Source organism: Homo sapiens, chromosome 4 (assembly GCF_000001405.40).
Source record: "Homo sapiens chromosome 4, GRCh38.p14 Primary Assembly".
In the NCBI taxonomy this organism is placed as follows: Eukaryota; Metazoa; Chordata; class Mammalia; order Primates; family Hominidae; genus Homo; species Homo sapiens.
The window spans coordinates 78,294,397-78,317,063 of NC_000004.12; the positions used below are offsets into that span (position 1 = coordinate 78,294,397).

At 40.3% G+C, this 22,667-nt stretch overlaps 1 protein-coding gene across 2 annotated transcripts in view, besides 3 other annotated features; it reads left to right on the plus strand.

Annotated features, from left to right (window-relative positions):
- FRAS1 (Fraser extracellular matrix complex subunit 1) overlaps window positions 1–22,667 on the plus strand; it is a 486,947-nt gene that overhangs the window by 237,074 nt on the left and 227,206 nt on the right. For both annotated transcript variants that reach the window (NM_025074.7, NM_001166133.2), the window contains exons 15-16: window positions 13,670–13,813; window positions 21,198–21,338. In NM_025074.7, the coding sequence (NP_079350.5) occupies window positions 13,670–13,813; window positions 21,198–21,338 (285 nt within the window). The remainder of the gene's footprint in view (window positions 1–13,669; window positions 13,814–21,197; window positions 21,339–22,667) is intronic.
- Window positions 5,239–5,533: an enhancer, noted in NCBI's record as "tiled region #11576; HepG2 Activating DNase matched - State 14:Gen5'". NCBI's record gives its function as "activates a minimal TATA promoter and a strong SV40 promoter by Sharpr-MPRA in HepG2 cells {active_cell/tissue: HepG2}" and the evidence as "EXISTENCE:reporter gene assay evidence [ECO:0000049][PMID:27701403]".
- Window positions 5,239–5,533: a silencer, noted in NCBI's record as "tiled region #11576; K562 Repressive non-DNase unmatched - State 23:Low". NCBI's record gives its function as "represses a minimal TATA promoter and a strong SV40 promoter by Sharpr-MPRA in K562 cells {active_cell/tissue: K562}" and the evidence as "EXISTENCE:reporter gene assay evidence [ECO:0000049][PMID:27701403]".
- Window positions 12,672–13,267: an enhancer, noted in NCBI's record as "OCT4-NANOG-H3K27ac-H3K4me1 hESC enhancer chr4:79228222-79228817 (GRCh37/hg19 assembly coordinates)". NCBI's record gives its function as "activates a minimal SCP1, AML or CMV promoter by ChIP-STARR-seq in primed H9 embryonic stem cells {active_cell/tissue: H9 hESC(primed)}" and the evidence as "EXISTENCE:reporter gene assay evidence [ECO:0000049][PMID:30033119]".

Consider the following 22,667-nt stretch of genomic DNA (forward strand, 5'->3'; position numbering starts at 1 on the left):
GGATTTTCAGTGGTCACAGAGGATGAGTAGAAGCTGAGAAGCTGGTGGTCTTGAAAACCCTTGGATTATACCTATGTTGTCGATTTAGGAATATAGGTAGAGGGGCAGGAAATAGAAGAGATAACTTTACCAGATACTCCTGATGAGCTGAATGTCTTGCTTTGTCCTCTGACTTATGAAGCAATGAAAGGTCCATGTGGACCTGCCAAAGCCTTCATTGGCTGGGAAGTAATTTCCTTTGGTTCAAGTTCTGTGTCTACCAAAGACCCTGCTAAAAATTCAAATATATTACTCAAGACGGGTAAATCATTCAGCTGTATCACAATCATGGTTAATAGGTTAACAAGTTATTTACCTAGCATGTACCTTAGGGAAAAGGACTATAGCTTTCCTCCCTCCATCATTAGGAAAATTACCAAAATTCCCCCCAAATACCAAATGAATTTATGTTTATTCCAAAAAAAAATAATTAAAGTCAATAAAATATAAGGTATAATAAAAAGTCAGCTAAAATTTCTAACTCAAACTCCCCTAAATCACTACTGTTAGTATTTTGGTGTATGTCTTCCTAATTTATAAAGATATCTTTTTGTGTGTCTATACACATACACTTTTTTTTTCAAAACTAAAATCATACTCTATTTACAGTTTTATTGCTTGCTTGCTTTATGTTATTACTTATCCTTCTACAACATCTTTTTAAACCTGTTGTATAATTTTCCATCTCTGGCTATGCAATCATTCATTTAGCCAATCCTCTATGGTTTGATATTTGTTCCCAATTTTTTTAATTATATGTAACCATGATGTAAACATTTTTAGTAGAAATTGTGGTAAATATTTTTGAATCAATTTTTAGACATGTGACTACCGGGTCCAAAGGTTTATGTACAGTGTTTAAGCTTTTTGACACAGAGTAACATATTATACTCTTTTAAGAAAGTTGTACTAATTTGTACTCTTACCAGAAATGTATAAGGGTGCCTACTTGCCAGCACTCTTGTCAACACTAGGTATTACAAGCCTTCTTAAATTGTCAATTTGATTGATGTAAAATGAAATCTTGTTTAATTTTTATCTTTTACCTATTTTGGGGATTCTTATGAAGCATGTGGAGTTAATCATGCTTGTCAGTTGATGGCCCATTTTCATCATTGGTCTGGGCCAAGCTATTCTCTTGCTTATTTGTCTGCCCATCCATCTGCCTGTCTATTCCTTTTGTTATCATGCCCTATTCCCATTCTCCTTCTTCCCAGCTCCCCTTTTAAATAACTACACTAATGTGATTTAGTGTGTACTTTTTGTATGTATATTCTCTTATTGTTTTGTATGCCTGAGTAGATATTTCCTTCTTTTTTTTTTTTTTTAGATGGAGTCTCACTCTGTCACCCAGGCTGTAGTACAGTGGCGCAATCTTGGCTCACTGTAACCTCCGCCTGCCCAGGTTCGAACGATTCTCCTGCCTCAGCCTTCTGAGTAGCTGGGACTACAGGGGTGTGCCACCACACCTGGCTAATTTTATTTTTTTGTATTTTTAGTAGAGACAGGATTTCACCATGTTGGCCAGGCTGGTCTTGAACTCGTGACCTCTAGTGATCCACCCGCGTTGGCCTCCCAAACTGCTGGGATTACAGGCACAAGCCACCAAACTCAGCCAGATATTTCCTTCTTTCTTGACTTTTTTTTTTCTCACTAAGCAGTGTTTCTAGGATGCATACATGTTATTAGGTGGTGCAAAAGTAATTGCAGTTTAAAAATATAATGTGCATGTCTCATCCAGTGCATCTAGTTGCTGCTCTCCTGTTTGGTTTGCATATCTCCAGCTTTTGATGATGCTGAAGATTTTTTTTACGTGTTTGTACTTTTTTCTATTATGAAGTTCCTCAAGCACTTACGAGTTTTCAGAATATGTGGAGACCAGACATTCCCATTTCAGGTGTAAAGCCTTCAATTGGCAAAGGGAGGCAGTAGCAGGCAGAGGCCCAGTCTGGGAAGGGACAGAAGATTGGAGTAAAAGGATCAAAAATGGTGATGGCTCAGATCTCTTTGGAACTTCTTTTAAATTAGCCTGGAGTTTTAGCGTCTCAGGCAACCAGCCTTGGCCTCTTGTGGGGCTGTGACTGGGGAGGAGGAAGTGGTCTTTCAGGAATCAGAGCCTCACCAAGGTATTTCCAATCACTTTCAAAGAGCTTTTGCTGTTGTTTTGTAGAGGTTGCAAGGAAAGAACTGCTAAGTGTGAAGCCCCTGGGCGAGGCTGGAGCCCATTCGTATAGCTGCTGGCCAAATCCCTGCAGGCTGTAATTCTTCCCTTCCCTTCCTTTCTAAGTGAGCCAACCTTTCCTGTAGTCTTTTCCATCCTTCCCCCTTCTGTCTTGTGTTGCACTTTAATTTGCTCCCTTTAAAATTACTTTGATTTTGACAGCAGTTGAGACAAACTGCAGCTCTCCCCATGCCATTCATGTGATCACACACAAAATTCTCTGCTTTTCCAAACTTGCCATCTCTCCATGTCCTCGTGAACTAGGTACAACAAATATTATTATTTCCACTTTACAAATTAGGAAACCAAGGAACAGTGAAGTTGAGTTCAAGACAGAAAAAATTTTTCATTCAACAAGAGCTTCTTATTGAAAATTTACCCACTGTCTCCTGATAATACTTCAAAACTTGGCGAGTACTACCTAGTCATTTGTGAGATGAGAATGAAAGCTGGCAGTTGCCACAAACTGGATAATAACAGAATGAAGGAATTTGATTTGCATATATCACACCTGCTTGTGCCTGAAGTTAGGGCTTTTTCTGTGCAGTTGTGAGTAAAAACATCTTGGCAGTTTGAAAATATGAACTGCAGCCTCACTGATGAATCTCAGAGGAACTACAGATCAATTGTGCTAATTCTCTGGAAACTTACTCCAAACAGCCACAGAAAAGAGGAAATGGGTGTCGGTGTCCACTGCTCTGGGTCTGGGAAGGCTTTGTGGAAAATAAGGTGCTTACACGAAGTGCTTTTAATGTTTCCCTGGAAAAGGGCTGCATTTTATTCTTAGAGAGACATAGCTTAAAACATTTTTAAAGCAATCTTCTATTTCAAAAGTATCAAATACAAAAAGATGTGTGTTATTTTTAGAGTAGGGTTTTAGTAAAGAATTGCCAAAAGAAAAGTAATTTGTTCCTTTTCATTTTCGAAATGAGTTGCTCAAGAAGCCAACCACATGTCTGGTTATGCTCCAGAAAAGTCAGGGACCTTACCAAATAAATTATCTGTTACATGTGAGATAAAAAGATAGCTTTCTCTTATTCACCCTCTTTTAACATTTATTGCCACAATGTTCACAATATATAATTTAAGCCCTGTGTGATCTGAAATGTATCACTAAGAGAAATTATGGTGAAAAGTCAGGGAGTGACCTCTTATTTTTTATAATAACCCAAATATAATAAAAGCCATATGTGAGAGATAAGCTGTGGTAGCATATGTTCAGTGTTAGAAATTAGAAATCAATTGCAAACACAGTGGGATTTTTGCTAAATCAGTAGATTATAGCTGTTCTTGCCACTCAAGGGAAAATGGGTAACTATATGGGAAGATGGGTATGTTAATTTGTTCCTCTCTCTCTCTCTCTCTCTCTCTCTCTATATATATATATATATATATATTACTAATCCTCTTTATATATATATATTTTAAGGTATATGACATGATATTATAAGGTATGTGTATATATATTTAAGGTATATAACATATTATAAGGTGCATATATATATACCTTATATAAAATATAAAATATAAGGTACAGATATATACTTAGCCTTATAAAATATAAGGTGTATTAAACATAAATGTATATTATTAAATATATAAGGTACATATTTAAGGTATACAATGTGATATTATAAGGTGTATATATATATATGCACACACACCTTTTTATAGTGATGTGTATATAAATATAAATACACACACCTTATAATATCATGTTGTATACCTTAAATATACACAATACAATTTATTTTAAAGAAACCACAGTGGAAGTATATCATTATAAGAGATGAAAGCTCAGCATATTCCTGTGTTGAAATAAAAATTCTTTCTGCTGTTGTGTCTGGCCATGGAACATGTCTTTTGTGTAATATATAAAAAAACAGCAGGACCACTGTCATGTTTGGTACTCTATATAGATGCAGCGTCAGTATTTATCATCATAAGCAGATTTGGACTTCAGCATTTATTAAGTATGTATTACAGCTTCAAGTTTCTCTTAAGTTATATCTTAAGACTATGACCTAGTGGTGAGTTGTTTCCATGTAGAAGGTAACTGAAAGGATGAATTCCCCATAACCCATTTTAAAAATCTGCTGTGCATTCATTTAGCCTACATTTAATGAGTACTGACTAGGTGCCAGACATCAGTCTGGATACTGGGGGTTTGCAATGACTAAAACATGGTCCCCATTTGGGAGGGTATTGAATTTCACTGAAGACTGAATTCCATTGAGATTGATTCATAACTGAGTAAGTTAGTACAGTAGGATAAATATGATAAGAGAGGCATATGCAACATGCTGCAGGAACATAGAGAAAGGTTATCAGACAAGTTTAGCAAAGCTTCACAGAAGTAGTGACAACTTAGGAAATATAAACAGGAAATTATATATAAACAGGATTTTAGGGGCTAAGGAAGGAGCCAGCGACGTTGTGGGCTGGGCGAATCCTGTGTGGGGCATCAGAACTCATAGATGGGCACATGGCACATGTAGGGTGCCCTGCTTCACAGAATTGGTGTGCAAGGGGAGATAGTGGAAGATGGAGCAGGAAAGTTAAGGAGAGCTCAGTTTGTGGGGGGCCTGAATGCCATCCCTAAGTCTGTCGATTGAGGCCATCCTGCTCATTCTTTGGTCCCTGTCCTGATTGGTAACACCGAGGGTGTAGTAAAAATATCTAACAAGCTGTATGGCACAGATGCACATCAGAGAGAAGGAGGGGGACCCCAGACCTTCTCCTGTGTCAGACCTTTTGTTTGTGGAGCATGGTGTCGGGTGGAGATTCCGGGGATGAAACTCGGGGTGACAGCCATTTATCAACCAGTTTGAAAGTATTTTACTATTTTAACAACCAGTATAACTGCATGTCTGCGCTGCTATTCAGCCAGTCACTGAAGAAAGCTAGGGAGCTGTGCTTTAATTTCTTATCTCCTCTATACCTCTGGACAAAGATGATTTCATCCCCTACAGATGTCTTGAGTTACTTTCTTTTCTCCCCACTGCCAGAATGAACTCTCTAAAAAGCAGAAGTGATCATTCCACTGCCCTGATTAAAACTTTCCATGGCATGAAGTCCAAGGTCCGTACTCTGGCCCATCTGAAGTTGGAAGTCTGACCCCTGTTGTCTTTTCAGCCTCACTTTCCATTCATCATTTCCTTGGCACTTATGCCCCAGTGCAGTTTGCACAATGTCACCAGTGCACCTAGGCAACAGAGTGTTCTAAGTGTTCCTGCAGCAGACCTCAGATAACCTGTGGCTTACCTGTGGCCAGCTGAGAACGTGCCTTACATGTGTCTTTGTGTGCTTCTGTTGAATGTTGATATATCAGCTTGGCATAACTTTTTAGAAATGAGAGTGGATTTTTTGTTTGTTTGTTTTGGTAATGACTTTAGATCAACTCCAGAGTGAGTGAGGCAAAGGCATGAACAGTCGTTGACTCTTCAGATGATGACTACAGTCAGTAATGAAAGGGTGGTAGAATACATGAATGTCAGGCAGATTTCATGCATGTTAAGGGTAGAATTTGTTACTGAGATCTTTGCATCCACATCTTTAACTATAATTTAGTACCAAGTAAATTATAACTAAAACTTATCCAAAGCTTAAGGGTAAGTTTATCCTTAAACTTATCCTGCATATGGACAGTATTCTCATGTTCTACATTTATAAAATATAAATAAGGAGTTAAATATAAATGAAGTCACTTGAGAGACATTTGTAAAGCAGAAGCAGTGTGCCTTGTACAGTTAACAAAATAGAAATGGGCCCTGCCCTCATGGAGCTTACGGTCTCACAAGGGAACCAGATGATAAATAAGGAAACTTTCCTTTGTCTTTGCTTCCCACCCAACTAGTCCAAGTCCCCTCTCACCTGGGTCATGCAGTAGACTCTGTGCTGGTCTCCTGCTTGCTAGCAGGTCCTTAAACCCTCTCTACATGGCAGCCAGAGAGTGATTTGAAACATGTCAATCAGATCTTGTGTCTGTCTTGCATGAGCTCATTTATGACTTCACATGGTAATTAGGATAAAAATCCTAATTTCTTTCCTTGGTCTCCAAGGTCAAATTTGACCAGGCCTCTGCCTATGGCTGCAGCCATGATTCATGCCATGGCCCCCCACTGTGCCTCACCAACTCCAGCCACAGGGGCAGCCCTCAGTTTCCCCAAATACACGTACCCCTTCCCTCCTCTAGAGCTGCTCGTGATGGTCCAACTCCCTGTGACTGGCTGCCTTTCATCCTTTTGATCTATAGTTAGTCCCCACCACCCCCACCACTGTTACTCTTTATTGCAGAGCCCTTTTTAGCACTTATTGCAATTCGTAATCATCCCTACCTTTTTTGGGGAGAAAAAGTGTCTGAAATTAGGACTTGCTTGTGCAATTTAGAACTGAGAAGAGAGAATTGGATCTTGAGGTTTGCAAGGCAGATATCCTTCCTTCTGCCTCCAAAGGGATGCCTACTTGAATTACTAAGGTAGGGTTACCAAGCTGCTTGCAAGCAGCAAGGCATTCATTCTACCTACCAATTTTGGTCAGAATCAATGCCTCTGCAAACTAGCTGGTGCTCCACTGTGAAAGAAACCTTTTAAGAATTAGGATGTATTAACAAAAGCATAGGTAGGGGTTAGCCATACAGCTAGCCAAATTCGAAAAAATTCAGTTATTCAGAATAGGTCATTCTGCAAAAGTGCTAAAGTGAAGAGTGAGCTTGAAGAGTAAAAAAAAAAAAAGCAAATGCTGAAGAGGAGAATATTTTAAAATCTTAAAGGAGCAAGTTATAGTAAGAAATTCAAGGTATAAGAGAAAAGCAAGCTTTGTGAGTTCTTAAGACACATGTGTAGGACAGATAATACTGGGGGGAAAGAGATAAAAAGGCAAAGAACGATAGATGTCAAGTAGGACTGGGTCCTCAGAAGGTTGAATCTGGGACTAGAGTCCAGGGAATCCCTCCTCAGCTGATTCTGATGGTGCTGCAGGTGGGAGGTGGTGATCCTGTGGACACTCTGTGGTGTGTGTACAAAAGGCAAGGGGGTGGAGGACCATCTGATTTCATTAAGCAGTCCTTCTTTCTCTAGAAAGTTATGATTTCCTTCTCTGTAAATCCCATTTCTCAAAAGCTTCTGATCTCCTCTTCTGAATCTCTTAGTGATTCTTTACTGAAGTTGTACTTCTGGCCCACAGAAACAGTTTTTTTTTTTTTTTTTTTTTTTATACTTTAAGTTTTAGGGTACATGTGCACAATGTGCTGGTTAGTTACATACGTATACATGTGCAATGCTGGTGCGCTGCACCCTCTAACTCATCATTTAGCATTAGGTATATCTCCCAATGCTATCCCTCCCCACTCCCCCCACCCCACAACAGTCACCAGAGTGTGATGTTCCCCTTCCTGTGTCCATGTGTTCTCATTGTTCAATTCCCACCTATGAGTGAGAATATGCGGTGTTTGGTTTTTTGTTCTTGAGATAGTTTACTGAGAATGATGATTTCCAATTTCATCCATGTCCCTACAAAGGACATGAACTCATCATTTTTTTATGGCTGCATAGTATTCCATGGTGTATATGTGCCACATTTTCTTAATCCAGTCTATCATTGTTGGACATTTGGGTTGGTTCCAAGTCTTTGCTATTATGAATAATGCCGCAATAAACATACGTGTGCATGTGTCTTTATAGCAGCATGATTTATAGTCCTTTGGGTATATACCCAGTAATGGGATGGCTGGGTCAAATGGTATTTCTAGTTCTAGATCCCTGAGGAATCGCCACACTGACTTCCACAATGGGTGAACTAGTTTACAGTCCCACCAACAGTGTAAAAGTGTTCCTGTTTCTCCACATCCTCTCCAGCACCTGTTGTTTCCTGACTTTTAATGATTGCCATTCTAACTGGTGTGAGATGGTATCTCATTGTGGTTTTGATTTGCATTTCTCTGATGGCCAGTGATGATGAGCATTTTTTCATGTGTCTTTTGGCTGCATAAATGTCTTCTTTTGAGAAATGTCTGTTCATGTCCTTCACCCACTTTTTGATGGGGTTGTTTGTTTTTTTTTCTTGTAAATTTGTTTGAGTTCATTGTACATTCTGGATATTAGTCCTTTGTCAGATGAGTAGGCTGCGAAAATCTTCTCCCATTTTGTAGGTTGCCTGTTCACTCTGATGGTAGTTTCTTTTGCTGTGCAGAGGCTCTTTAGTTTAATTAGATCCTATTTGTCAACTTTGACTTTTGTTGCCATTGCTTTTGGTGTTTTAGACATGAAGTCCTTGCCCATGCCTATGTCCTGAATGGTAATGCCTAGGTTTTCTTCTAGGGTTTTTATGGTTTTAGGACTAACGTTTAAGTCTTTAATCCATCTTGAATTGATTTTTGTATAAGGTGTAAGGAAGGGATCCAGTTTCAGCTTTCTACATATGGCTAGCCAGTTTTCCCAGCACCATTTATTAAATAGGGAATCCTTTCCCCATTGCTTGTTTTTCTCAGGGTTGCCAAAGATAAGATAGTTGTAGATATGCGGCATTATTTCTGAGGGCTCTGTTCTGTTCCATTGATCTATATCTCTGTTTTGGTACCAGTACCATGCTGTTTTGGTTACTGTAGCCTTGTAGTATAGTTTGAAGTCAGGTAGTGTGATGCCTCCAGCTTTGTTCTTTTGGCTGAGGATTGACTTGGCGATGGAGGCTCTTTTTTGGTTCCATATGAACTTTAAAGTAGTTTTTTCCAATTCTGTGAAGAAAGTCATTGGTAGCTTGATGGGGATGGCATTGAATCTGTAAATTACGTTGGGCAGTATGGCTATTTTCACGATATTGATTCTTCCTACCCATGAGCATGGAATGTTCTTCCATTTGTTTGTATCCTCTTTGACTTCCTTGAGCAGTGGTTTGTAGTTCTTGAAGAGGTCCTTCACGTCCCTTGTAAGTTGGATTCCTAGGTATTTTATTCTCTTTGAAGCAATTGTGAATGGGAGTTCACCCATTATTTGGCTCTCTGTTTGTCTGTTGTTGGTGTATAAGAATGCTTGTGATTTTTGTACATTGATTTTGTATCCTGAGACTTTGCTGAAGTTGCTTATCAGCCTAAGGAGATTTTGGGCTGAGACAGTGGGGTTTTCTAGATATACAATCATGTCATCTGCAAACAGGTACAATTTGACTTCCTCTTTTCCTAATTGAATACCCTTTATTTCCTTCTCCTGCCTAATTGCCCTGGCCAGAACTTCCAACACTATGTTGAATAGGAGTGGTGAGAGAGGGCATCCCTGTCTTGTGCCAGTTTTCAAAGGGAATGCTTCCAGTTTTTGCACATTCAGTATGATATTGGCTGTGGGTTTGTCATAGATAGCTCTTATTATTTTGAAATATGTCCCATCAATACCTAATTTATTGAGAGTTTTTAGCATGAAGTGTTGTTGAATTTTGTCAAAGGCCTTTTCTGCATCTATTAAGATAATCATGTGGTTTTTGTCTTTGGTTCTGTTTATATGCTGGATTACATTTATTGATTTGCTTATATTGAACCAGCCTTGCATCCCAGGGATGAAGCCCACTTGATCATGGTGGATAACCTTTTTGATGTGCTGCTGGATTTGGTTTGCCAGTATTTTATTGAGTATTTTTGCATCAATGTTCATCAAGGATATTGGTCTAAAATTCTCTTTTTTGGTTGTGTCTCTGCCAGGCTTTAGTATCAGAATGATGCTGGCCTCATAAAATGAGTTAGGGAGAATTTCCTCTTTTTCTATTGATTGGAATAGTTTCAGAAGGAATGGTACCAATGGTACCAGTTCCTCCTTGTACCTCTGGTAGCATTCGGCTGTGAATCCATCTGGTTCTGGACTCTTTTTGTTTGGTAAGCTATTGATTATTGCCACAATTTCAGCTCCTGTTATTGGTCTATTCAGAGATTCAACTTCTTCCTGGTTTAGTCTTGGGAGAGTGTATGTGTCGAGGAATTTACCCATTTCTTCTAGATTTTCTAGTTTATTTGCGTAGAGGTGTTTGTAGTATTCTCTGATGGTAGTTTGTATTTCTGTGGGATAGGTGGTGATATCCCCTTTATCATTTTTTATTGCATCTATTTGATTCTTCTTTTTTTCTTTATTAGAAAAAAAAGTGGTCTATCAATTTTGTTGATCCTTTCAAAAAACCAGCTCCTGGATTCATTAATTTTTTGAAGGGTTTTTTGTGTCTCTATTTCCTTCAGTTCTGCTCTGATTTTAGTTATTTCTTGCCTTCTGCTAGCTTTTGAATGTGTTTGCACTTGCTTTTCTAGTTCTTTTAATTGTGATGTCAGGGTGTCAATTTTGGATCTTTCCTGCTTTCTCTTGTGGGCATTTAGTGCTGTAAATTTCCCTCTACACACTGCTTTGAATGTGTCCCAGAGATTCTGGTATGTTATGTCTTTGTTCTCATTGGTTTCAAAGAACATCTTTATTTCTGCCTTCATTTTGTTATGTACCCAGTAGTCATTCAGGAGCAGGTTGTTCAGTTTCCATGTAGTTGAGTGGTTTTGAGTGAGATTCTTAATCCTGAGTTCTAGTTTGATTGCACTGTGGTCTGAGAGATAGTTTGTTATAATTTCTGTTCTTTTACATTTGCTGAGGAGAGCTTTACTTCCAAGTATGTGGTCAGTTTTGGAATAGGTGTGGTGTGGTGCTGAAAAGAATGTATATTCTGTTGATTTGGGGTGGAGAGTTCTGTAGATGTCTATTAGGTCTGCTTGGTGCAGAGCTGAGTTCAATTCCTGGGTATCCTTGTTGACTTTCTGTCTCGTTGATCTGTCTAATGTTGACAGTGGGGTGTTAAAGTCTCCCATTATTATTGTGTGGGAGTCTAAGTCTCTTTGTAGGTCGCTAAGGACTTGCTTTATGAATCTGGGTGCTGCTGTATTGGGTGCATATATATTCAGGATAGTTAGCTCTTCTTGTTGAATTGATCCCTTTACCATTATGTAATGGCCTTCTTTGTCTCTTTTGATGTTTGTTGGTTTAAAGTCTGTTTTGTCAGAGACTAGGATTGCAACCCCTGCCTTTTTTTGTTTTCCATTTGCTTGGTAGATCTTTCTCTATCCTTTTATATTGAGCCTATGTGTGTCTCTGCACATGAGATGGGTTTCCTGAATATAGCACACTGATGGGTCCTGACTCTTTATCCAATTTGCCAGTCTGTGTCTTTTAATTGGAGCATTTAGTCCATTTACATTTAAAGTTAATATTGTTATGTGTGAATTTGATCCTGTCATTATGATGTTAGCTGCTTATTTTGCTCATTAGTTGATGCAGTTTCCTCTTAGTCTCGATGGTCTTTACATTTTGGCATGATTTTGCAGTGGCTGGTACCGGTTGTTCCTTTCCATGTTTAGCGCTTCCTTCAGGAGCTCTTTTATGGTAGGCCTGGTGGTGACAAAATCTCTCAGCATTTGCTTGTCTCTAAAGGATTTTATTTCTTCTTCACTTATGAAGGTTAGTTTGGCTAGATATGAAATTCTGGGTTGAAAATTCTTTTCTTTAAGAATGTTGAATATTGGCCCCCACTCTCTTCTGGCTTGTAGAGTTTCGGCCAAGAGATCCGCTGTTAGTCTGATGGGCTTCCCTTTGAGGGTAACCCGACCTTTCTCTCTGGCTGCCCTTAACATTTTTTCCTTCATTTCAACTTTGGTGAATCTGACAATTATGCGTCTTGGAGTTGCTCTTCTCGAGGAGTATCTTTGTGGCGTTCTCTGTGTTTCCTGAATCTGAATGTTGGCCTGCCTTGCTAGATTGGGGAAGTTCTCCTGGATAATATCCTGCAGAGTGTTTTCCAACTTGGTTCCATTCTCCACATCACTTTCAGGTACACCAATCAGACGTAGATTTGGTCTTTTCACATAGTCCCATATTTCTTGGAGGCTTTGCTCATTTCTTTTTATTCTTTTTTCTCTAAACTTCCCTTCTCGCTTCATTTCATTCATTTCATCTTCCATCGCTGATACCCTTTCTTCCAGTTGATCGCATCGGCTCCTGAGGCTTCTGCATTCTTCACGTAGTTCTCGAGCCTTGGTTTTCAGCTCCATCAGCTCCTTTAAGCACTTCTCTGTATTGGTTATTCTAGTTATACATTCTTCTAAATTTTTTTTTCAAAGTTTTCAACTTCTTTGCGTTTGGTTTGAATGTCCTCCTGTAGCTTGGAGTAATTTGATTGTCTGAAGCCTTCTTCTTTCAGCTCGTCAAAGTCATTCTCCATCCAGCTTTGTTCCGTTGCTGGTGAGGAACTGCGTTCCTTTGGAGGAGGAGAGGCACTCTGCTTTTTAGAGTTTCCAGTTTTTCTGCTCTGTTTTTTCCCCATCTTCGTGGTTTTATCTACTTTTGGTCTTTGATGATGGTGATGAACAGATGGGTTTTTGGTGTGGATGTCCTTTCTGTTTGTTAGTTTTCCTTCTAACAGACAGGACCCTCAGCTTCAGGTCTGTTGGAGTACCCGGCACTGTGAGGTGTCAGTCTGCCCCTGCTGGGGGGTGCCTCCTAGTTAGGCTGCTCGGGGGTCAGAGGTCAGGGACCCACTTGAGGAGGCAGTCTGCCAGTTTTCAGATCTCAAGCTGCGTGCTGGGAGAACCACTGCTGTCTTCAAAGCTGTCAGACAGGGACATTTAAGTCTGCAGAGGTTATTGCTGTCTTTTGTTTGTCTGTGCCCTGCCCCCAGAGGTGGAGCCTATAGAGGCAGGCAGGCCTCCTTGAACTGTGGTGGGGTCCACCCAGTTGGAGCTTCCTGGCTGCTTTGTTTACCTAAGCAAGCCTGGGCAATGGCGGGCGCCCCTCCCCCAGCCTTGCTGCCGCCTTGCAGTTTGATCTCAGCTAGCAATCAGCGAGACTCCGTGGGCGTAGGACTCTCCGAGCCAGGTGCCGGATTTAATCTCCTGGTGCGCCGTTTTTTAAGCCCGTCGGAAAAGCGCAGTATTCGGGTGGGAGTGACCCGATTTTCCAGGTGCCGTCTGTCACCCCTGTCTTTCACTAGGAAGGGGAACTCCCTGACCCCTTGCGCTTCCCAGGTGAGGCAATGCCTCGCCCTGCTTCGGCTGGCGCATGGTGCATGCACCCACTGACCTGCGCCCACTGTCTGGCATTCCTTAGTGAGATCAACCCGGTACCTCAGATGGAAATGCAGAAATCACCCGTCTTCTGCGTTGCTCACGTTGGGAGCTGTAGGCCGGAGCTGTTCCTATTCGGCCATCTTGGCTCCTCCCCCTAGAAACGGTTTCTTGAAGAAGAGGGTGTTGTGTTTGTCCTGAGGTGTACATGTGTCAATAGCAGTTTAGGAACTAAGGAACCAACTGACATCCTCCTTGTGTATTCTAAAATATTTAAAAGAAAAATGATGACCAGTCCTTTCTGCCGTAGATTACTCACTGATTTTGCTATTCGTCTGCAGTCTGCCATGAGTCCTGTGCAGGTTGCTGGGGCCCAACGGAGAAGCACTGCTTGGCCTGCAGAGATCCCCTCCACGTGCTGAGAGATGGCGGCTGTGAGAGCAGCTGTGGAAAAGGCTTCTACAACAGGCAGGGCACCTGTAGCGGTGAGTGCTGGGTTGCGATGCTGACGTGTCCTTTCCTTTTTCTTTTCCAGCATCTCTTGTTGTATTCAAATCATAGCACATTACCAATGTTTCTTTTACTCAACATATATGTGAATAGCTGCTGAGATTAATCTTTGATTTAGATGTGCATAACACACTTTCCATCAGTGGTATTCCTCTTAATTGCCCCACCAGTCTGCTAGGGTTGGGGTGCTCATTCTAGCCTTGTCCCGCAGATGAAGATAGTGAGGCCCAGGTGGCCTGCTCAAGACCCACAGCTGGAGGGAAAGGAGCTGGGCTCCCACCCAGGCTTTCCTTTCCCCAGATCCCAAACTCTCTACCAACACCAGACTGCCTTCCAAATGTACATGGGGACAAAGAGACTATTAGGCCAGCTGAGGGCAGACCCGCCTTTGGTGTTGGTGCCACTGACTTAAAGCTGAGCAGTTATTATCCATTCTACCTTAACACCCATGGCCATAACAATGAGAGTTAACCCAGCTTAGCACTTCCTTGAACCAGGCACGGTTCCAAGTGCTTTATAAATATTAACCCACTGAGAGGCAGAAAAGTCAGGAGGAAAAGCATGGCTTTCGGCACATTAGTCAATCTCTGTGCATGTCAATTCCCACTTGTGAAACGGGGATAATAGTAGCACCTGTGGAAGACACAATAATGGGCTCCCAATGATGCCCTTGTCCTAATCCGTGGAACTGTCATGTGTTCCCTTGAATGGCAAAGAGGACTCTGTAGGTGTGATTAAGTTAAGGATCTTGATGTGAGGATATTATCCTGGATTATCTGGGTAAGCCCCATGCAATCAATCACAAGAGTCCTTATATGAGGGAGGCAACAGAGTCGAGTCAGAAAAGTAGAATCGAGGATGGACCAGAGGTCGGAGTGATAGAGTGAAGCAAGGAAAATGCCATAAGCATGCAGGTGACTTTTAGAATCTGGGAAAAGGCAAGGAAACAGATTCCACCCCTGGAGCGTCCAGGCAAGGAACAGATTCTACCCCTAAAGCTTCCAGAAGGAACTTTGATTCTAGAACTTCTAACTTCTAGAACTATAAGATGATAAGTCTGTGTTGTTTTAAGCCAAAGAGTTTATGGTAATTTGCTACAGCAGCAATAGAAAATGAATACACCCCCAACTCAGAAGGCTGTTGAGAGATCGAGTTAAGATACGCAAAGCACTTAGGATACTGCCTGGGACATAGTAAGCATTCTATCAGTGTTTGGTGTTTAATCCTCACAATTTCATGAGGTAGATATAACCATTCTCATTTTCCAGATAGGAAACAGAGAGGGTAAGAAACTTGCTTAAGGTCACACAGCTAATAAGGGGCAGAGTTGGGATTCCAGCTTAGATCTTCTGGCTCTGGGCCTTAACTGCCTGTGAACCACTCTACTGCTCATTATAATGTGGTATTTCCTTATGCACCTCTGCCTATTTTTTTTTATTTTCCTTTTCATTATCCTTTCCCCCTTTCCACTTCTTCACCTTCTTCTGTGTCTTCTGTCAGCCTTTAGATGAGCTGGCTACCCCTGTGGACATTGCCAGGTCTGCAGGCATCCTGACAGTAAATGAAAGGTTTGAATTGAGTTTACTTTGATGGTCATACCTATAGAGAGGCCAGGAGGACTTTTTTTTTCATAGCTAAGTCCACCAAATCAATAAAAATGTGTAGCTCATAAAACTTTCTTGAGTTATCGTCCTCATTTTGTTCACTGAGCAGGGCAACAGCAAAAATGAGATGATTTTAGGGACTTGACAAATCCACTTGTCTTAGAGAAGAGAGCTAGCCCTTGGGAGCTGCTTGCTTAAAACTGTGCAGGGATCCATCAGTATTGCCAGTATGAAAAATCTCTCTTGGTATCAATGAGTCACAGGTGGCTTTTGTGTGGATTCAGGAGAGAATAAGGAAAGAAAGGCCAGGCTGCCATTAGCCTGAGCATGTTAATCTTTTTCTGCCAGCATCACTTTCCTGCTCAGTTAAGCCAGATGTATTCTCTAAAGGTCGACAGATGTCAAATTTGCACTAATCCAAGGGCCTAAAGGCATTTACCCTTTAAGTCCCCTGGGATGCTGGTTACTGTCACTGATGGAGGAACGGTGACCCTGACCTGCCACTGAGACTCTACATTATCTGGATTGAGAAGACAACTTTTGCTGGAGAAGTGGTGTATTTAAAAAGAGGAATAGTTAATGCGAGACTGGAGGCTGTAAGAGGTGGGAATCTGCTTTATCTGTACACATTTTGAAAAACATCTCAAAGAAACTTCCAGGCAGGAGGATGGATCATAGCTGACATTAGTCAACCAATGAATCAACAGATCTACAAGTAATTACTAAACACGTCATGTGCTTAGCCTGATGCAAGAGTTGGTGATGCCACTGGTGTTGACCAACAGGCCTTTTAATACACAAAACTGGAGCTTACGCGTTTTATAAAATTGTTACTATTCTCCAAGTTTGTTTCAAAATGACTTCAGAAATGTTCACAGAAATATGTTCTAAAACAACAGTGAACCAACTCACTGATTGGTATCGGAATGTTAATTAAGACGTCAGATGCTGATAATGCTGACTTATTTCCATTTCAGATTAATACTATTCAAGATAAAGACCGGCTGGTGTGGGTTTAACAATTTATAACCTACCAGCCTGTATCTGTAGAAATCTCAAAGTCAAGTACTTAGAAAAAACCAGCATAGCCTGTTATGAAGGGTGGTATGCCCTGGCTGAAAGATCTTACAGTAACCAGGTTCACCTGTGGTACGTGTATTGCGTTCAACAAATATTAGATATAAAGAGTGGGGCAATTCAAAGGAGGAAACCTCCTCATTCTTTTAAGTATTTATGCCATTATGAAGGGCTTTTCGGGCTGCAGCTAACATAATAAATCAAAGCATAATAAATCAGAGGTTTCTGTTAGTCATTCCCTCTCTTTTTTTTCCTTTCTCTTTCTTCCCTCCTTTTTTCTTTCTCCCTTTTTTTAATCTTCATTTCTCTTTTGCACCCATGCAACCATTTTTTAAAATCTTTTTATTTTTATGAGCTTATCTAACTGGGTATTTTTATTTTGAGCGCATATGTATTTAATTTTCTTGAGATGTTACAAAGTGCATGCTGTTTCCTTCTTTTCTCACTCAGCAGTACATTTTTAACATGCACCACGTTGTTCTCTCTCCTAGCCCTTCACTTCTCACTGCTATGTAGCACTCCCTGGTGTGCCCCCGTCATATTACCCATCCACGCTCCCAGTGTTGGACTCCCTCCTTTTTCTCCATCTGCATCACTAGAGAGCACCAGGGAACAGCCTCAAATGTGTTCCTTTGTAAAGCTCTAGAGGGAGTTTCCTGGGATTTATACCCAGGAGCAGAATGGCTGGTTTTTTGACTCTGCATATTCTTCATTTGACCAAGTAGTGCCGGGTTACTTGCCAGAATGGCTGTGCAATCTATATTCCCAAGCATAAGGGTTCACTCATCTCCACATCCTTGCCACCACTTGGCATGATCAAGATTCTGATTTTTTCTGGTCAAGAGGTGTAAAGAGTCAACCCATTAAATTTGCCTATTTCTGATGATTAATGAGTTTGAGTATATCTTCAACTCCTGTTGGTCTTGAAGTTTCCTATTCTATAGATTTCTTTTTAAATGTGCTTTTCCCATTGCTCTATTGGCCTTGCCTCCTTTTATGGAGTTCATTTTATGGAGTTTCCTTGTATGTTATAGATAGTAGCCTTTTTTCAGTTTTAAATATGCAAATTTTCTCACTCTGTTGTCTTTTAACTTTGAATATAATGCCTTTGTTAAACAATAATCTTTGATTCATTATTTTTTGCTTTAAGGTTTTGCTTTTGAATTTTTAATAAGACCTTTGCTAAGGTTCAAAAATAAATTAATCTCTCTTCTATTAATTTGATGTTTTATCTTAACTTAGGTTGTCGAGCCATCTGAAGTCCATATATATATATATATATATGGGTTTAAGTAGGGTCCCATTTGATTTTTTTCCATTTCACGATCCAGTTTTCCCAACATTGTTTAGTAATTCAGCCTAGCCTTCCTTATTTCTCTTTATTGTATATTAAATTTCCATATACACATAGTTCTGTCTGAGCTATAAGATATAGAAATTTCTAAATTTCCATAGTCTAAATTTCTGTTCTTGTACCACTATCAAACTTTTTTTCATTAATTTCTATGGCTTTGTAGTATGTCTCAATATCTGATTGGGAAAATTCCCTTTCTTTCCTTTTCAAAGTTGACTTAGCTATTCATAAGCTTTAGAGCACATTTACTGAATTCTTAAGAAAACTCAACTGGGTCTGGATGTGGTGGCTCACACCTATAATCCCAGCACTTTGAAAAGGCCAAGGCAAGAGGATCTCTTGAGCTCAGGAGTTCGAGACCAGGCTGGGCAATATAGTGAGACCTCATCTCTACTAAAAATAAAAAAAAAAAATTAGCCAGGTGTGGTGATGTGTGCCTGTAGTCCTAGTTCCTCTGGAAGCTGAGGCAGGAGAATCACTTGAGCCTGAGAGATTGAAGCAGCAGTGAGCCATGATCGTGCTGCTGCACTCCAGCTTGGGTGACAGAGTGAGACCCTGTCTGAAAGAAAGAAAAAGAAAGAAAGAAAGAAAGAGAGAGAGAGAGAGAGAGAGAAAGAAAGAAAGAAAGAAAGCTCATCAACTGGAATTTTTATTGATATTACATTGGAGTTATAGATTAGTTTGGGAAGAAATTACATCTTCCTAATAATTTTATTTAGATTTACAAATTTCCCTCTGGGTGTAACTTTAGGTGTGTCTTAAAATGTTTGATATGCAATGCTTTTATTGTTGGTCAATTCTAATTTCCAAAAATTGCTGCAATTTTTCATTTCTTGGAAATTGCATTTAGCTTTTAGATTACTCACTTCTGTTGAGATGTCAGTTCTAGAATTGGAAACCTCAGGAGGTTTTGTGGCATGTGGGAGGGAAGAATGCTTTTCAGATTCATTTTCATTTCTTTGTTCCAGTCCTGAGTTCAGGGGTGATTTTCTTTTTCCCTGATATTAAGGCCATTGCCATAGCCCATTCTCTTACTCTACACATTTGCCTGTGAACAGATGCTGGATTCTCCAGGATGCGAGATGGGACATTTGGCCCCATCATTTAGCGTCTTTTTTCTTATGTTCTCAAAATATTTTTCAGGAGGTTAGCAGGGTGTAGATGGATTAAGGGAACAGACAGAATAAATCTCAGCAGTTCTCTATTTTTGAAACATTGATTCTCTGTAGCAGGAAGGTTTGCTTTTTTTATTTTTAAAGACATTAGCCAACCAGCATAGAAAAGATTGAGTCACAGACTTGCCTGTGACTGCACTCTCCCTCACCTCCTTCCACCCTTCATAAGGAGGCCTTTCTCTGCTCTGTTCAAAGCCAGTCTCTCAACTGTATTTTTGAATATGCATCCCTCTTTTCTCTTAGATATTCTTTCAGCAATCATTCAAACTTTTCTTTTTAAAAATTCTTTCCAGTTTCTATAATTGCCTTGATTTTTTACAATATAAGAAAGACAAAACAACCTTTTCCCCTTTCAATTATTTGTTTCCCTGTTGCCTTCTGTTCTCAGCCTGAGTCCTTTAAAGGAACAGTTTATAATCATAGCCTTCACTTTCATTTGGTCTAATGACTCCACTGAAATGTGTGGCACAGGACACCCACAGCCTGGTTCCTAAGTATAGTGAAACTTTTCAGATGTTATTTGTCCTCTCTGCACCTGTCATGACTTTCTTTTGGAAACCTTTTTCCTCCTTTGACTTCTCAGTCACCATGCTCTTTTTTCTCTCCCTTATCTTTGGATCATTTCTTCTTGGTCACCTGTACTAGTTTTTTTTTCTTCTTCTTCTTCTTTTCTTAAATGCTGATGCTACCCAGGTCCTTGCCCACTTCTGTCTTATCCTGCATACTTTTCCTGAATCACTCAACTAATTTTTAGTTTCAACAATTGCTTGTATATGATGACCCCATACCTCTCCCACGAGCTCCAGAACTGTAAGTTACATTACTCCCTGGATTGTGCATGTTCCAAACTGAGCTCATGGCACTCCCCCACACCTATTCTTTCTTGTACTCTGTGAGCGACATCACTTGTCCCCCAAGACAGGCCCCTGGAAGCCATGTGAGATGGTTTTTTCTTCACTGCTCTCAAATCTCTCACAACCTCCACGGCTCTAATTCAACCCTTAATCATCTTGATTCATGCTCCTTGCCATGGTCTTCCAATGCGGTTTCCAACTCTCCTCTTTACCCTCCAAACTGAGGCCAAAATGATCTTTCTTAGATACAAATACAGCCGTGTTTCTACTGTGTTTAGAATTGCAGGGGTTCAATCTCATTGCCTTTCCTAGGATGAAAATCTAGACAACAGAGTCAGGCCATAGGTTTCTATAATCTGGACTTCCCATTTTTCCAGCCAAATGAAACTACTGTTTTCCTGGGCAGCCTAGTCTCCTCCCAGGTTCTGAGCCTTGGCTTACTTTGCTGCCTCAGCCTGGAGTACATTCCCTTCAGCCTGACATGGTCCTACTGCTTCCTAAGACAATGCTCAACGGTTGCTCCTCTATGAATGCTTTCTTGACTTTTCCACCTCTTACCCCCACCCTCACATTTTTTTTTGAATTTTCATTGTGCCTATATAGATTGATCTGAGTGATATTTTAAATATTTCCAATATTGTCTATTTCTTTTCCTGTATTAGACTACTAAGCTACTTAAAGTGAAAACTAAGTTGATTTTGTTTTTGTGTTTCTAACCCCGGCACAAGACCTGACACAGACCTTAGCATATGTTTTAGGTGGTAAATGAATAAGTGAATGAGATCCTGAAAGACTGTGTGAAGTTCAGCAATTTTAACATAATTTTAGTAGCATGACCTTGCTTAGTAGAATCTTGACTTTCTGAATTCTCTCTCCAAGTAGGGTAGAATAAAGGATAAAATATTTGGTACATACTTATGCTAAAAAACTTTATTATTTATCTGAAATTCAAATTTTATGGAGCATCTGATATTTTTATTTGATAAACCTGGCAACCGCACCTCTAAGGCCATTTTAACTTTAAACCTCATATTAAGTTGGTTACACTGGTGGGTGTGCCTGAGAGTTTTTGCTATGCTTAGTTCAATGAGTAATTCTTCAATTCTCTTTCAACTGTGAAAACAAAAAGCACAGAGTCCGATGAAATGTTGGAATCAAGGAAACAGAATTTTGCTGAGCAGCCAGAAAATGAGATTATGATATTGATACCCATTGTGGATATTGTAAAGAATAGACTTCACTGCTTCTTTTGCTCACTATTGCCTTTCTCTGATGGGTTTTTTGCCTCCCCTTAGCTTGTGACCAATCCTGTGACAGTTGTGGCCCCAGTAGCCCCAGGTGTCTTACCTGTACTGAGAAGACAGTGCTGCATGATGGGAAATGCATGTCTGAATGCCCTGGCGGGTACTATGCTGATGCCACTGGCAGGTGCAAAGGTAAGAGATGGGTCACCATCATCATCATCAAAAAGTATTGAGTACATGTTTGACTATACTTGGTGTTATATGTTGCTAATTTGGGAACTCGAGTGTATGATGGGAAAGCATAACTTTAAAAGATAGCTTTTTTCATTATGAAGCCAATGTGTATTTGATATGGGAGTGGGAGATATGGGTGGATGCTGGGGGACTAGAGTGCTTTCATGAAGGACTTACGCATATTAATCATCATTAGAGTTCATTTGGTCCTTTTGAAATGCCCAACATACAGTCCTTGTTTACTTGTAAACCATCACTAACTTAGGTTGCAGATGTAACAGAATCATTTCTTTTATGACATAGGTCATATATTGGCAACTACAACACACCACAAAAATAAAATTAAAAAGTTAAACCAAGTTTGATAGCTAGTAAAGCTAAAGTCTGTATCTACTGGAAACTTGTTTTTGTGTGCTACTTATATATTGTTTCTTTCAGACTTATGCAGCCTAAACTATGAAACATACCCATTTGAGACTTTATAAATTTCTACCTTATGTATGCCTGACTTGTGTCTTTCCTCACAGGTAACTCTGAGAACTTCTTGTTGCCTGGGACATCTTGATCTCCCCTCCTCTCTGAAACATATGCCCACATCCTCACGTCTACCTACTGTCTGTTAGTGCAGGGTGTTTAGACCCATCTCAACATCTCTCCTTAGCAGCCTCCCCTTTGCCTGCCAACCTCTTTACTCACCTGGTGTTCACCACCTTTCCTCTGTGTCCTGCCCCCACGTTCTCATCCCATCTCTACCCACCACCCCCAACTCCTGACCATGGTCCTGCAGAGTCTTCTTCCCATATCTCACTCCTGACCCCAGCCCTGCTAGAGGCTCAGCCAGGCCATGCCACCAGTACCTGTCCCTTAGAGTCAGAGATGTCCCCATTAACACCAGGGTCAAAGCAGGGGACATGTGTTCCTGACATTGTCATATGTTGTGGTCAGAGTCATTACTGTAATTGTTACTTAAAATCCTAGAATGTCAAAGCTGGAAGTATCTTAAATGATCATTTAGTCCAACCTTTCACTGTGCTCATGCCAAGAAAACTAGGCCAGGAGAGACCCAGGCTTGACTGAGGGCATTGAAGAATTGGTGGAGAAACTGCTCAAAATGCCAGTGCTTCCAACACTCTGACCCATGGCCTTTCCACTCTAATTCATTTAGGCAGTGTGAGGTTTAGGTCCAGACAGACCTAGGGCTAAATCCCAGCCCTGCTATGAATAAAGCATGTCACCGTGGGTAAATTTTTGAACTTCCAAGACCTCAGTCTCCTCATCTATAAAATG